The sequence below is a fragment of the Homo sapiens genome, chromosome 17 (genome assembly GCF_000001405.40).
Source record: "Homo sapiens chromosome 17, GRCh38.p14 Primary Assembly".
Lineage (NCBI taxonomy): Eukaryota > Metazoa > Chordata > Mammalia > Primates > Hominidae > Homo > Homo sapiens.
This window is the reverse complement of record NC_000017.11, coordinates 50,288,362-50,304,018: the sequence shown is the minus strand read 5'-3', so window position 1 is coordinate 50,304,018 and position 15,657 is coordinate 50,288,362. Positions and strand designations below refer to the sequence as shown.

The 15,657-nt window shown below is 46.7% G+C and overlaps 1 annotated feature.

Moving 5' to 3' along the window:
• Positions 1-983: an enhancer, noted in NCBI's record as "NANOG hESC enhancer chr17:48380397-48381379 (GRCh37/hg19 assembly coordinates)". NCBI's record gives its function as "activates a minimal SCP1, AML or CMV promoter by ChIP-STARR-seq in naive H9 embryonic stem cells {active_cell/tissue: H9 hESC(naive)}" and the evidence as "EXISTENCE:reporter gene assay evidence [ECO:0000049][PMID:30033119]".

The window sequence follows — 15,657 nt, the reverse complement described above, 5'->3', positions numbered from 1 at the left end:
CCAGGGCTACAGAGCGAGACTATTTCAGAAAAAAAAAAAAAAAAAAAAAAAAAGATTAAAAAAAAGATTTTAAAAAAAGTTGTAAAAAAAGAAAATAAAGAGCCACACCCACCATCTAAGGTTATACACAAGGGAACTGCTTGTTCAGCACAAGGCCTGGCTCCCGCTTAAATGCCCACAGTTGGGAGTCATTGTGTTGTCGTTTATTCTCACTTGTCTCCCCCGGGCAGTGAGAGACCCTCTGCCAACGTCACCTTGCTGGACTAAGGACTGGGGAGGCCTGAACAGCACTTTGATTGATTTATCCACCCCATGAGGTTAAATGCTCTACCCTACACCTAAATGGCTGTAGGTTACAGGGTTTTTTCCTTGTTGTTGTTTTGAGACAGGGTGTCACTCTGTCATCCAGGCTGGAGTGCAGTGGCTTGATCTCGGCTCACTGGAAACTTTGCCGCCCAAGTTCAAGTGATTTTCCTGCCTAGGCCTCCTGTGTAGCTGGGATTATAGTAGTGCACCACCACACCCGGCTAATTTTTACATTTTTGATAGAGACAGGATTTCGCCATGTTGGCCAGGCCGGTCTCAAACTCCTGGCCTCAGGTGATCCGCCAGCTTCAGCCTCCCAAAGTGCTGGGATTACAGGCAGGAGCCACTAAGCTCAGCCGCTTACAGGTATTTTTGAACATCAAATGGCTGCCCCTTCTCCGAGCCAAGGATAGAACAATCAGTCACAAAGCCGCAGGACGCCTGTTGACAAGGGCTTCACCTGGGACAACTGCTGTGTTGTACTATCGGCTTTGCCTTAACTCTTGCCGCAGCGTGTGGAGAGTCATGGCGGCTGTAGTCTAAAAGCAGCCTGGTCCTGTCCTCTAAGGCAACTGGGGCTGGGCTGAGACCCTCAAGAATGTGGCCACACATCATGGTCAATAACGTCCTCTCCTTGCCTTCCCTCAAAACCTCTCTTTGAGTTTTGAATGAGAGAGCTGGCGATTGCAGCCTCCTTTGGGATTTAATGAGGACCGTCTGATTATATTCCACCTTGGACTCCTCACAGATATTTTTCCCTCTGTCTGGAATCCCTAACAGACACATTTATACACACACACACACACACACACACACACACACACACACAGCCTGCACATAATAAACTACTGCTCTATTCTTTGATTCTTACCTTTAAAGTCAGTTCCCCAGCCTGGGCAACATAGCAAGATTCCACCTCTGTAAAAAATTAAAAAATTAGCCAGGTGGCACACACCTGTAGTCCTGGCTACCTGGAAGGCTAAAGTGGGAGGATTGCTTGAGCCCAGGAGTTGGAGGCTACACTGAGCTATGATTGGGCCACTGCACTCCAGCCTGGGTGACAGAGGAAGGACCCTGTCTCAAAAAAAAAAAAAAAAAAAGTCAGTTCCCCAGTGCTTAACACAATGCCTAGCAAACAGTGGGCTCTGATTTGCTTTTCCTTAACACATACCAGGGTGTTAATACTTTCCAGACCCATTAAGGAGTTGGTGAGCACCGTGAGGAAAATGCTAGACCAAGAACGCCACACCCAAGACATGCTAACCCCATATCGCCATTGCACCTGGTATTGCCACACAACTCCCTCCATCAGCTTCTACCAAGGTTATCAGCTTCCTGTTCCTTCTGATTCAAATCCCTCAAACTTGGGCCCTTGCTCAAGGCACTAGCCGTTATGAAACCTCTGAAACTTTCTGTGTGTAAAGCAACAGAGAAACCCCAAAAGAGAGATTGGATGATCTGACGACATCAAAATGTAAAACTTCTGAAGGTTAAAGAAACAATAAATTTAAGGGCAAGCCATAATCTAGGGAAACTGTTTGCCATGAATGTGAGGAATAAAAGGTAGTCTGCTCAGCAAATATTTATTGAGGGCCTACCCTTCACGGGGCACTGGGAACAGAACTGAAGGCTGAAGTAAAGCAGTTTGTTCAGTAGCCTCGTGTATGCCCGTGCCCAGTCACAAAAATGTGCTCATGGGAAGGGTTCCAGCCAGAGGAACCAGTATCTGTGAGGACCTCCAGGTGGGACAGAGCTTGGCACATGGAAGGGGCTGAGAAAATGATGATGTGGCTGGATACAGAGAGCGAGAGGACAAGGCTGGGAGGTGAGGGTGTGGGTGTTGGGAGAGGCCAGACCATCCCAGACCTTGGATACCTTTTTAAAAATTATTTTATTTCAAGAGATATGGGAACGTTTGGATGGATTTTAAGAGGGCTGGCCGGGCGCAGTGGCTCACGCCTGTAATCCCAACACTTTGGGAGGCCAAGGTGGGCAAATCACCCAAGGTCAGGAGTTCGAGACCAGCCTGGCCAACATGGTGAAACACTGTTTCTGCTAAAAATATAAAAATTAGCTGACTGTGGTGGCACACACCTGTAATCCCAGCTACTCAAGAGGCTGAGGCATGAGAATTGCTTGAACTTAGGAGGTGGAGGTTGCAGTGAGCGGAGATGTCACCACTGCATTCCAGCAGCCTGGGTAAGAGAATGAGACTCTGTCTCAAAAACAACAAAACAACGACAACAAAAAACATTGGAAGGGTGTGGCCTCTGCTCACTACAGAGGCACTCACTGCCTCTGTGGTCCCCCTACTCCTGGCATTGAACTCACCGCTACCATGACATGCATTCCACTGCATTGTACTGACTGGTCTCCTTGCTTCTAGGCTGTGAGCGACTGTGATAGAGTTTCTGTCTTCACCATCTCTGTGGACCTAGGGTCAGAACAGTACCTGGCACATTAGTAGTTCTCTGTCCATGTTTAATAAACCATGAAGTCACCCTACAGCACCACCTCCCTGCTTGTGTTTGGAATATGTGCTGTTATATGCTGTTCAGTGTGGCCTGTCTGGAAAGAGGCAAAGACACATGGAAACTTGAGGGTGTTACAAGCTGGAGCAAGTGGGGGCACACCCGTGCCAGCCTCCACACCACCACCAAGGAGCTGCTATTCCAGACAGTGCTTTCTTTTTTCTTTTCCTCTTTCCTTCCTTCCTTCCCTTCCTTCCTTCCTTCCTTCCTTCCTTCCTTCCTTCTTTCCTTCCTTTCCTTCCTTCCTTCTTTCCTTCCTTCCTTCCTTCCTTCCTTCCTTCCTTCCTTCCTTCCTTCCTTCCTTCCTTCCTTTCTTTCTTTCCCTCTCTCTCTTTCTTTCTTCTTTTTTTTTTTTGAGACAGAGTCTTGCTCTGTTGCCCAGGCTGGAGTGGAGTGGAGTGATCTCGGTTCACTGCAACTTCTGCCTCCCAGGTTGAAGCAATTCTCCTGCCTCAGCCTCCCGAGCAGGTGGGACTACAGGCACATGCCACCACACCTGGTTAATTTTTTGTATTTAAGTAGAGAGGAGATTTCACCATGTTGGCCAGGCTGGTCTCAAACTCCTGACCTCAGGTGATCTGCCCACCTCAACTCCCCAAAGTGCTGGGATTACAAGCATGAGTCAACACACCTGGCCTGCAGAGTGCTTTCTGTGTACCAGACCTGGGGTGAGCTCTTTCTGGTGCTGTAATCAGAAAATCCCTCTGTGCAATAGTGTTGCTGAGAGGCAGTGCCCCCAAAGAGACCTTCAGTTCCCTAGCAGCTCTGAATCTGAGCTTGATTGACACGATCAAGTAGAAACCCAAGCCGAGTGTGCACTGAGGACCCGCAACATCCACCCCTTCATTTCATCCTGTCACAAGCATGTTCTGAGCATCTGCTATGTGCCAGGCCCTGTACAAAGTGTGAGGCACAGAGGGGTCCCTAAGCCCAGAGACACACACGCCCTGCTTTCAAGGACAAGAAAGACATAAACAAATTCTTATTCAAGTGGAAACTTCATGAATTTGTGATAAATGTCTCCAAAGGAGAAAAGAAAGGGCACTAGAGGAGTGAATGCCAAGGGGATCCAGCCTCAGTGTTCCCAGGCCTCCCCAGGAGCTGACATTTCAGGCCAAGCCTAAACGCAGATAGGAATTACTGGGTGAGGGTGGAGGGAGGGGTGGAGTGGGTGAGCAGAGGAGAATTCCAGGCAGGGAAAAGGGGTGGGTGATGGTCATGAGGGCTCCTGAGTGACCCAAGCAGCTGCAGTTGCATGAGTCTCTACTAAAAATACAAAAACAAAAACAAAACAAACAAACAAAACAAATTAGCCAGGCGTGTTGTGGTGCACCTATGATCCCAGCTACTCAGGAGGCTGAGGCAGGAGAATCACTTGACCCAGGGAGCGGAGGTTGCAGTGAGACAAGATTGCAGCACTGCACTCCAGCCTGAGCGACAGAGCAAAGACTCCGTCTCAAAAAAAAAAAAAAAAAAAAGAGAAATCATATCCAAGGCTGGCCAGGTGTGGTGGCTCATGCCAGAAATCCCATCACTTTGGGAGGTGAAGGTGGGAGGATCACTTGAGCCCAGGGGTTCAAGACTAACCTAGACAACATAGTGAGACCCTCATCTCTACAAAATAAAAAAATATATATATACAATCTATATATGTATATATATTTATATGTGTGTGTATATGTACACACATGTATACATATAATATATATATGTACACACACACACACCCTGGTAGTCCCCGCTACTCGGGACCCTGAGATAGGATTGCTTGAGCCCAGGAGGTTGAATCTGCAGTGAGCTGTGATCATGCCACTGCGCTCCAGCCTGGGCAACAGAGCAAGATCCTGTCTCAGAAAAAAAAAAGAAGAGAAAGAAAAGGCGACAAGACAATATGGAGGATACACACATAATCTGATTTTTGTAAAAATGTTGTGGGCCAGGCACGGTGGCTCACACTTGTAATCCTAGTACTTTGGGAGGCCAAGGTGGGCAGATCATCTGAAGTCAGGAGTTCAAGACCAGCCTGGCCAACATGGAGAAACCCCGTCTCTACTAAAAATACAAAAATTAGCCGGGTGTGGTGGTGCATGCCTGTAATCCCAGCTACTTGGAAGGGTGAGGCAGGAGACTTGCTTGAACTCAGGAAGCAGAAGTTGCAGTGAGCTGAGATCACCCCACTGCATTCCAGCCTGGGCAACAGAGCGAGACTCCATCTAAAAAAAAAAAAAAGAAGTGTGTGTGTATAGAAAATGTCCAGAAGGATATTTACACAACACAATATTTATTGCTTTCTTCTTTAAATTATCCTATATTGTCTGATTTTTTTATAGTGAGCATGCAGAACTACTATAACCAAGAATAAACAATGCTGGCCAGGGGCAGTGGCTCACACCTGTAATCCCAGCACTTTGGGAGGCTGAGGTGGGCAAATCACCTGAGGTCAGGAGTTCAAGACCAGCCTGGCCAACATGGTGAAACCTCGTCTCTACTTAAAAAAAAAAAAATTAGCCAGGTGTGGTGGCGGGTGCCTGTATTCCCAGCTGCTTGGGAGGCTGAGGCAAGATAATCCCTTGAACCTGGGAGATGGAGGTTGCAGTAAGCAGAGATTGCACCACTGCAATCCACCCTGGGCAACAGAGCTCCATCTCAAAAAAAAAAAAAAAAAAAGGAATAAACAATACTGTGATTTCCACTTGGGGAAATAAAACTATCTTCATGTGCCCTCCTAAAAACATTGAGAGGCAGTGTGTTCTAAACCAGTCCCTCGCACTGGCTCTGACTGGCGTCCGGATTTCCTGGGGGATCTGGTAAAGTGCGGAGTCTGGGTCCGTAGGTTGCCAGCGGGGTCTGCAATCCTGTATTTCTAACAAGCTCCCAGCTGACCTGAGGCTGCTGGTCCAAGGACAACACTTTTGAGCGGTGCTATAAAGCAACCCTGGAATCAGGCCTCGGGGCCTGCCTTCGAATGTGACTTTGTCCCTAAGCCACATCCTGCCTTGGGAAGCAGTGTAGCTCTGCCTTGGGAAAAACACTCCACCACAGTGCAGGGCTCTTAGTTTCCTCTTTTGTAGAAGGTGAGACTAGAGCTGTAGTCGTTAAAACTCCCCGCTTTGTCATTGAGCCTTCTTGGCCACTAATGTGCCAGGAAACCAGCTTTTCTTTTTTTCTTTTTTTTTTTTTTTTTGAGACAGGGTCTCGATGTCACCCAGGCTAGAATGCAGTGGCTCAAACACAGCTCTGCAACCTCAACCTCCTGGACACAAGCGATCCTCCTGCCTCAGCCTTTCACATAGCTAGGATCAAAGGCACACACCACTATGCCTGGCTAATTTTTAGTAGAGATGGGGGGCTTGCTTTGTTGCCCAGGCTGGTCAACTACTGGGCTCAAGCGATCCTCCCACCTCATTCCCCCAAAGTGCTTGGGATTACAGGCGTGATCCACCATGCTCAGCCAGGAAACCAGCCTTTCAAGTCACTCCACCTGCCTTTTCATGAGAGGTGAGCCACTGGCCTCCCCAGGGTGGCCTTAGTTGCCCCAGGGGGCTGAGCCCCTGCTGCTCCCACCTGTGTGGGCCTCTGTCCCTCTGTGTCCCTGCAGTCCCTCTTGCCTCCAGGCGATGGCAGCAGAAGACAAGGAGTCCCAGAGGGCGGCCACCCACCGACTCCGGGTGACAGGTAGGCACTTGTAAACGTTTCCAGTGTCCATTAAATCAGTTACAAGATGAACCATACCAATTCAGATTCACATTCTTATTTCTTTAGGATTTCAACTCCAGCTTTTTTCTCCCCAAGAATTGAAGCCCTATGCTATATGGGAGAATTCAGGATAAAAAATACATCAGAGGCCAAGCATGGTGGCTCACGCCTGTAATCTCAACACTTTGAGAGGCTGAGGGGGGTGGAACATGAGGTCAAGAGATCGAGACCACCCTGGCCAACATGGTGAAACCCTGTCTCTACTAAAAATACAAAAATTAGCTGGGCTTGGTGGCGCACGCCTGTAGTCCCAACTACTCGGGAGGCTGAGGCAGGAGAATCACTTGAACCCAGGAGGTGGAGGTTGCAGTGAGCTGAGATCATGCCATTGCACTCCAGCCTGGTGACATAGCGGGACTCTGTCTCAAAAAAAAAAATTACATCAGAAACTATGCAAAGATTTTACCTGCCACCTGAGCTGACTCTCAGGTGCTAAATGTATAGTTTCAAGACAATGAAGGTCAAAGGGGAAGTACACTGGGCATTCAGGCCCAAGAAGGGAGGCAGTGGCTGCAGACTGAGCTGTCCTGAGAGTCAGACTTGGGCTGGGGGCTGAATGTTTATTTTGCATTCTATGCTCACATCCCTGTGGGGGTCTCACCTCATTTTCCATACATGGAAAGAGATTCAGTGAGGCTGGCACAGTGACCACTGTCACTCAGCTTGTTGAGTGGCAGAGCTGGGACTCTAAGCCTGAATTCTTTCCCCTACCCTTCTCCCTCCCCTGGGAGAAAATTTTCATTTTCTGACCCAGCTGCCCTACTCCTATTTACATTGAGATGGGTTTGTTTTTGTTTTTCTTGAGATTAAACTCAGAGTAGTTGAAAATGGCCTGAGACCACAGTGGTCAATAGTTTCCAGGACAGTTGTCCACAGACGGGTTTATGCTAAACCATATTAAAGGTGGAGGAAAACTGGAAACTTGAAATTCATTGAGGCCAAGATAAACTGATTCAAGTCCTGTTTGTCTTCTTTAATTTACTTGTTTTTGGACAGGGTTTCACTCTGTTGCCCAGGCTGGAGTGCGGTGGTGTGTTCTTGGCTCACTGCAACCTCTGCCTTCTAGGTTCAAGCAATCCTCCCACCTCAGCCTCTTGAGTAGCTGGGACTACAGGTGCACGCCACCATACTGGCTAATTTTTCTATTTTTTGTAGAGTTGACGTTTCACTATGTTGTCCAAGCTGGTCTTGAACTCCTGGGCTCAAGCAATCCATTCACCTCAGCCTCCCAAAGTGCTGGGATTACAGGTGTGAGCCACCGCACCAGGCCCTGTTTGACTTCTTACAATTTACTCCACTCCAGCCACACTGGCTTCCACATTCTTCCAACATACCAGACAAGCTGCTGCCTCTGGCTTCCATAGCTGCTGTTGCTCTGCCTAGATGTGTTTCCTCCATATCTTCAAGGGTCACTTCATCTACTGCCTTCAAGTCTTCTCTCAGACAACTAACTTTTCAAGGGGACTACCCTGACCTCCTGTTTACAACTGTATCCACTCTGCCTGCTACTCTTTTTGTTTCTTTTAAATTTTCACAAGGGCACTGTAATATATTTCCCGCACCTCTGATCTCCCTTGTTTTCCCCCATTTTTTTCTGTGGCACTCATCACCTTCTGACATACTATATAATTTGTTTATTATGCTTGTTAATTTATTTCTATGTTTACTATATTGTTTCGTTTTGTTTTGAGACAGAAGTCTCACTCTGTCATCCAAGCTGGAATGCAGTGGCATGATCTCGGCTCACTGAAACCTCTACCTCCCAGGTTCAAGTGATCGTACCACCTCAGCCTCCCAAGTAGCTGGGACCACAGACGCACCCCACCATGCCCGGTTACTTTTTTGTATTTTTGGTAGAGACAGGGTTTTGCCAGGTTGCCCAGGCTGGCCTCAAACTCCTGAACTCAAGCAATCTGCCTACCTTAGCCTCCCAAAGTGTGGGATTACTGGCCTCTACTATATTGTTATTGTTATTATATTTATTGTCTTGAATGCAGGCTCTGTGAAGACAGTATTTTTTTTTCTGTTTTATTCACTGTTGTATCCACAGAGCCTAAAACAGTGCCACATACTAGGAACTCAATAATAAATGAATGAATGAATGGATACATGAGTTAACTTGACGGTTACATGTCAAAATATGCAGGACCTATGACAGCAATATTACCCCATGGATAAATAAAATACACGTGGAATTCATACGTGAACATACAGCTGACATGTGGGGGACATGTGGCAGGCACTGGACAGAAACACAGCAGAGCTTTGAGGGGAACATGTAATGGCACATGTAGACACACATAGACTAAGTGACAGGATGTCCCAGACATGCCATGGGAATGTGAAGGCACAAGGTGAGTCCGCTGACAGATACATGATGGACCCAGGCAGGACAGGTGGCAGGCACATGGAAAGACAGGCTCGTCACAACTCCTTAGGAATGCTTAGACTTCCAGGGCCCTCTGCATTATAATGCAGAGGTCTGGTCGCACAAACCAATGCCTCTCCCAGACAAATCACTTTTGCTTTCCTTAGTTAGTCTAGCTTAGAATGTGTCCATTTTGTTTACTGTTTCAAACACGCAACTTGGCCAGGCCCCGGTGGCTCACGCCTGTAATCCCAGCACTTTGAGAGGCCAAGGTGGGCAGATCACTTGAGGTCAGGAGTTTGAGACCAGCCTGGCCAGCATGGCGACACCTTGTCTCTACTAAAAATACAAAAATTAGCTGGACATAGTGACAGGTGCCTGTAATCCCAGCTACTTAGGAGGCTGAGGCAGGAAAATCCCTTGAACCCAGAAGGCGGAGGTTGCAGTGAGCTGAAATTGTACCACTGCACTCTTTTTTTTGAGACTCTGTCACAGAAAACAAAACCAACTCAGTTTCATTGATCTTTTCTAGTCTTTATTTCTGCTCTGATCTTTATTATTTACTTCCTTCTGCTTCCGTTTGTTTCTGTTTTTTTCTTTTCTTTTGTTTGAGAGGGAATCTCGTGCTCTGTAGCCAGGGCTGGAGTGTAGTGGCATGATTGCAGGCACGAGCCACTGTGCCTGGCCTGTTTTTCATTTTCTAGTTTTCTAGTTTCTTGAAGCGTGATGTTACGATGTTTATTTGTGATCCTTCTTCTTTTGCGATATAGGCATTTATAGCTATAAACTTCTCTCTTAGAACTGCTTTTGCCGCATCCCATAAGTTTTAGTATCTGGTGGGTCCATTTCATTTGTCTCAAGATATTTTTGCATTTCTTCTTTAACCCATTGGTGGTTCAGGATCATGTTGTATAATTTCCATATATTTGTGAATTTCCTGAAATTTCTCTCGTTATTGATTTCTAGCTTCATACCATTGTGGTTGAGAAGATACTTGATATGATATTAATCTTAAGTTTGATAAGACATGTCATGTGCCTAACGTGTAATCTATCCTGGAGAATGTTCTATGTGCTCTTGAGAAGAATGTGCATTCTGCTGCTGTCGGATGGAATGTTCTGTATTTGTCTGTTAGGTCTGTTTGGTCTAAAGTGTAGTTTCAGTCTAATGTTTTCTTATTGATTATCTGCCTGGACCATCCATCTGTCTGTTGCTGAAAGTGAGGTGTTAAAGTCCTTTGCTATTATTGTATTAGTCTATCCCTCCCTTAAGATCTATTAATATTTGCCTTATATATCTAGGTAATGTGATGTTGGGTGCATATAATTTACAATTGTTATAGCCTCTTGATGAATTGACTCTTATCATCATATAATGACCTTCTTGTCACCTTTTACCATTTTTGACTTAAAATCGATTTCATCTGTTATAAGTCTAGCTATTCCTGCCCTCTTTTGGCTTTTATTTGCATGGAATATCTTTTCTATCCCTTAACTTTCAGTCTATGTGTCTCTTTAAAGGTGGAGCAAGTCTCTTGTAGGCAGCATGTAATTGCATCTTTTTTACTCCTTCAGCCTTGCTTTCCTTGAAAAAAAAAAAAAGTGGATTTCCTCCTCATAATATTCTTATGCCTGGAGCCTCTCCCCAGATTACAAGAATACTTAATTTTTTAAATTTTTATTTATTTATTTTGCCCTGGACTCCTTTGGCAAGCTGGTGAAACCTATGGACCCCTTCTCAAAATAATGCCTAAACACATTTTTATTTATTTATTTTGGAGACAGAGTCTCGCTTTATCCCCAGGTTGGAGTGCAGTGGCACAATCTTGGCTCACTGCAAACTCCACCTCCCGGGTTCGAGCGATTCTCATGCCTCAGCCTCCAGAGTAGCTGGGGTTACAGGTGCCCGCCACCACACCGAGCTAATTTTTGTATTTTTAATAGAGACTGGGTTTCGCCATGTTGGCCAGGCTGGTCTCTAACTCCTGACCTCAACCAATCTGCCCGCCTTGGCCTCCCAAAGTGCTGGGATTACAGGTGTGAGCCACCGCACCCAGTCGAGTTTGGAGTGTGAATAATATTTTAAGACACTTGCAACAACTATAAGGTGACAAAAAAAATCTGTGGTTTTGCTGGGTATAGTGATTTGCACCTATATATAATCCCAGCTACTCAAGAGGCTGAAGTGGGAGGATCACTTGAGCCCAGGAGTTTGAGGCGGCAGTGAGCTATGATCACACCGCCATACTCCAGCCTGAGTGACAGAGCAAAACCTCATCTCTAATAAATAATAACATAAACAATTGTTTAAAGTATCTGTGGTTTCTGTGTGATAAATCCACAGGCACTGTTAACATTGCTGTGGCTTGTTGCTTACCCTCATACTGAAGGAAATGATAAATTTCAGTTAGAGGTTTGTGAAAATCAAGATGTAATGTTTTTTCCATTTCAGTTCATAGCTCCCTGAATTCTATCCAGGAAGCTATTGGGGCCCATGGACCTCACATTTAGACTGTGCCCTCGAGCCACACTCTAGAACTGCAGGGAGGGTTATGAAAATAGTGTATGCTGGCTACAGGAATTCAGCTTTTTTTGTTTTTTTTTTTTCTCAAGAGATGAGGTCTCCTTCTCTCACCCAGGCTGGAATGCAGTGCAATGCTCAAATGCTCCTCCTGACTCAGTCTCCCAAATAGCTAGGAGTAGAGGGTCTCACTATGTTCCCCAGGCTGGTCTCAAACCCCTGGCCTCAAGTGATTCTCTCACCTCAGCCTCCCAAAGTGTTGGGATTATAGATGTGAACCACCATGCCCAGCCCAGCAATTAAGCTTTAAGACTCTTTTCCATCAAAGGTGTAAATTTTTTTTGTTTGTTTTGAGACATGGTCTTGCTCTGTCCCCCAGGCTGGAGTGCACTGCTGCAATCTTGGCTCACTGCAACCTCCACCTCCCAGGTTCAAGCGATCCTCCCACCTCAGCCTCCCTAGTAGCTGGGACTACAGGTGTGCGCCACCACACTTGTCTAATTCTTTTTTTTTTTTTAATTTTTGGTAGAGACGGGATTTCACCATGTTGCCCAGGCTAGCCTCGAACTCGTGGGCCCAAGTGATCCTCCCAACTCAGCCTCCCAAAGTGCTGGGATTACAGATGTGAACCACCACTGCCGGCCAAAGGTGTAAAATGTTGAAATCTTAGTAAAGCTCCCAGGGAAGTTGAGCTGGAGTCCTCCACGAGCCCTGTGCATCCTTTATAGAGGGCCTGGTGGAACAGGAACCAAATGGGAGCTAAAAAGGAGGGACACTGTGTAAAGGAATGGTGGTGGGTCACTGGGTTTGTGTCCAGAGGGTTCAACCTCCTGGGAGGAGGCACTGGCTCAGGCTGTCTCTGAGGAAGCTGTTTGGAGCAGCTAATTGTCAGAGGGGCTGCTAGGAATTCTTAGGATTACCTGGGTGCGGTGGCTCATGCCTGTAATTCCAGCACTTTGGGAGGCTGAGGTGGAAGGATCACTGGAGCCCAGGAGTTCAGGAGCACCCTGGGCAACAGAGCAAGACACTGTCTCTACAAAAAACAAAAAACAAAACCAAACAAACAGAAAACTAGCCAGGAATGGTGGCGTGTGCCTGTAGTTCTAGCTAACTGGGAGGCTGAGGCGGGAGGATTTCTTGAGCCCAGGAGGTCAAGGCTGCAGTAAGCCATGATTGCACCACTGCACTCCAGACTGAGCGACAAAGCAAGACCCTGCCAAAAAAAAAAAAAAGAGAGAGAAAAAAAAATTCGTGAAATTAAACTCCTCTAGTTATCATGGCTTATTCCTAGGATTTTAAAGACTCCCCAGGGCTTGTCCTATAACTGAGACTCTGAGAAGCTACTCTGAAGAACTCTGATGCTTTCCAGGTAAAAAAGTCAAGGAAGGGATCCATTTCAATGTAAGTGGTACATATAAGGAAAATAGATTTGGCAACAGTACATCCTGGATTTTCTAGGATATGAGAACTACAGTAATTATATGTATGAATCAGGTTCATGTTTTGGAGAATATTTCTCACTATTTAATATCTTTTGCTAGGGTTTGTGAATTTGCAATTGTTGGTCCAGAATCAAACAGAATTGCTTTTAGAGAGCCAATTACTCTTTGGGTTAGAAAAAGCATCTTGATAAACGTGTTTGTTCATGGAAGGCCAGACCTCCTAAAAATGGAAAGTCTTAGATAAAAAGCATTAAACTGCTCTTCAGAGTGGGCTGCAGGCTGTTTGGCGTTGTTTTGGGGACATAAGGAGAGGATGGGAACCCTAGCCACAGGCAGGGCCAGGGAAGCATCAGGTGAGGATACCCGAGCGGGGTCAGGGATAAGCAGCACACACCACGTATGTGTTTTGAGATGTTACCTTCTCGGCAGGTTCTGCAGAGGATGGGGTTTGAAGCTGCCTAGAAGCTGCCCTCTGCCCCAGGATCCTTAATGAAATACCATTTGGCTGTGGAGGTTCAGGGGACACTAGAGGGCAACGGGCTGGATGATGTCAGCGATTGTGGCTCTCTGGGCTCCCCCAGGAGGGTTCCTGGGAGTGGGGGCCAAAAGCTTCTGCCTGTCCTGGATGAAGATCTGGCAAGTCTTAGGTAGTTCAAAGCGAGGCTCACCAAGCCACTTGCCCCTCACCCACTTCTTCCTGAAACCCCAGCGTAAGTGCCTCATGGGGTTGTAAAACCTGCCTCTAGCAAGCCACTGGGAACTAACAAACACTGTGGTTCTGGGGACAAGTTCTTGGCTGGCTCCAGACACCATCTTGCTACACATTTCCAGGATGTTGAGTCATCTGTTTAGCAAGGACCAGTCTGATTCAGGCTCACTCTGTTAGCCTCATATATTACGTGGCCCAGGAGGAACTAAAACTCCTGAAAACCTGCCAGGGCCCATCACGCCCCTCTCTGTTAGCCTGAAACTTCAGGAAAAGTCAGATCCACACAGCAGCTTGATTAGCAGTGCTTGTCAGGGGTGGGTGGAGCAGGAAGAATGCTGTGTCTAGGCTGGGGTGGGGGGATAGGAGGAGAATGTCAGCTGTAGGAGCCAAGGGGACTGGCAAGGAGCTGTGCAACCACGCAGGAAAAGCATCTGGATCCTCCCTTGAGCTACCCAACTTTATATTAAAGGTAAGGGTGACCTCGGAAGGCTGGGAGTTTTGGGGATTCACAGGTGGCCAACACTGGAGTGGGTCTCTGATCTCTTTTTAGCCTCGGTTAGGAGGATATTTGTTGGCTCAGTTTAATCTGAATCCTGCATGAGAGTTTTGCAAAGAGATGAAGACCTCCTTTGATCCTGTCTTCCTTGTGTGAGAGCTCAGCCACAAATAGAGTGTAGGGTCCTTTCAGTTTTCACCTCTAACAACTCTGACTTTGTTCTCTCCATTCTCAGCTTCCTGCGCCAATCCCCCAGGTCCCAGATCTCCAGTTATATTTCAGGGGTCTTCTATTTTTATCCTTTCCCCTTTGTTTTGTGGATAAGAGGAGGTTTAGGTGCATTTCCCTCCAACTGAGGACTTTGGAAATCTTGGCAGGCTTTGGAAATGTCACATGGCGTGGCAGGAGGAGCGGCTGTGCAAAAACAAATGAGTGTTCCCATCAAGATGTTTGCAATTTAATTCTAGCCTAGCTACTCACTGACCTCAGCCTTAGGGATGTCATGGACTTTCTCAGGATCCATTTCTTCATCTGTAAAATGAGGGAGTTGGTCTATAGGCTACTTTAGGCTCTTTGGATTGCAAGTGATGATAAACCAACTCAAACTAGCTTGAGCAAAATAAGAGATGTCACTGGGTGCTGTGGCTCACACCTGTAATCCCAGCACTTTGGGAAGGTGAGGAAGGAGGATTGCTTGAGCCCAGGAGTTCTAGGCCAGTCAGCAACGTAGTGAGACCTCATCTCTACAAAAAATTTTAAAAATTAGCCAGGCTTGATGGCATGTGTCTGTCATCCCAGCTACTGGGGAGGCTGAGGCTGAGGCAGGAGGTTCACTTGAGCCTGGGAGGTCGAGGCTGCAGTGAGCTGTGTTCACACCACTGCACTCCAGCCTGGGTGACAGAGAAAGACCTTGTCTGAAACAATGAAAACTAAGACAAAACAAAACAAAACAACACCCCCCAGCCCAAATGAGAGATGTGTTAGCTTTTTGGTTGCCAAGGAAGGGAGGAGTAGCTAGGCCATAGTAAGGCAGCTGGATTTCAGAAACAAACAGAAACAGGCATCGCAAGGTTAACAGGACTTTCTCTCTGTCTCCTGTCTTTACTTTCCTTTGAATGTTGGCTTCATTCCTTCTCACTCAACCAGGTTTTTTCACATAAGGGGCTAACATGGCCACCAGTGGCCCCATCTCCATCTCACACTTTTACTACCTGAGCAATCTAGGATCGGACAGATTCCCTGAGCTCCAAATAGAAAATTCTCAGGGAAGGGCTCTGATTGGCCCAGATTGGATCAGTGCCCACCCCTGAACCAGTCAACCGTAGCCAGAGAAGTAGGATCAAATGGCTGCCCCCAGTTCCACAGTCATTATGTGAATGAGGGTGGGGGTGGGGGCAGATGGAGACAATTCCAAGAGAAGCCAGATGGCTGGGCATGTGGCAAAAATGTGTGCAGTATAACCTGTTCTGAATCTAATTGTTGATGAAAGTTCTGCTATTGCTGTGTCAAAACACAAAATTGTCTTCTTG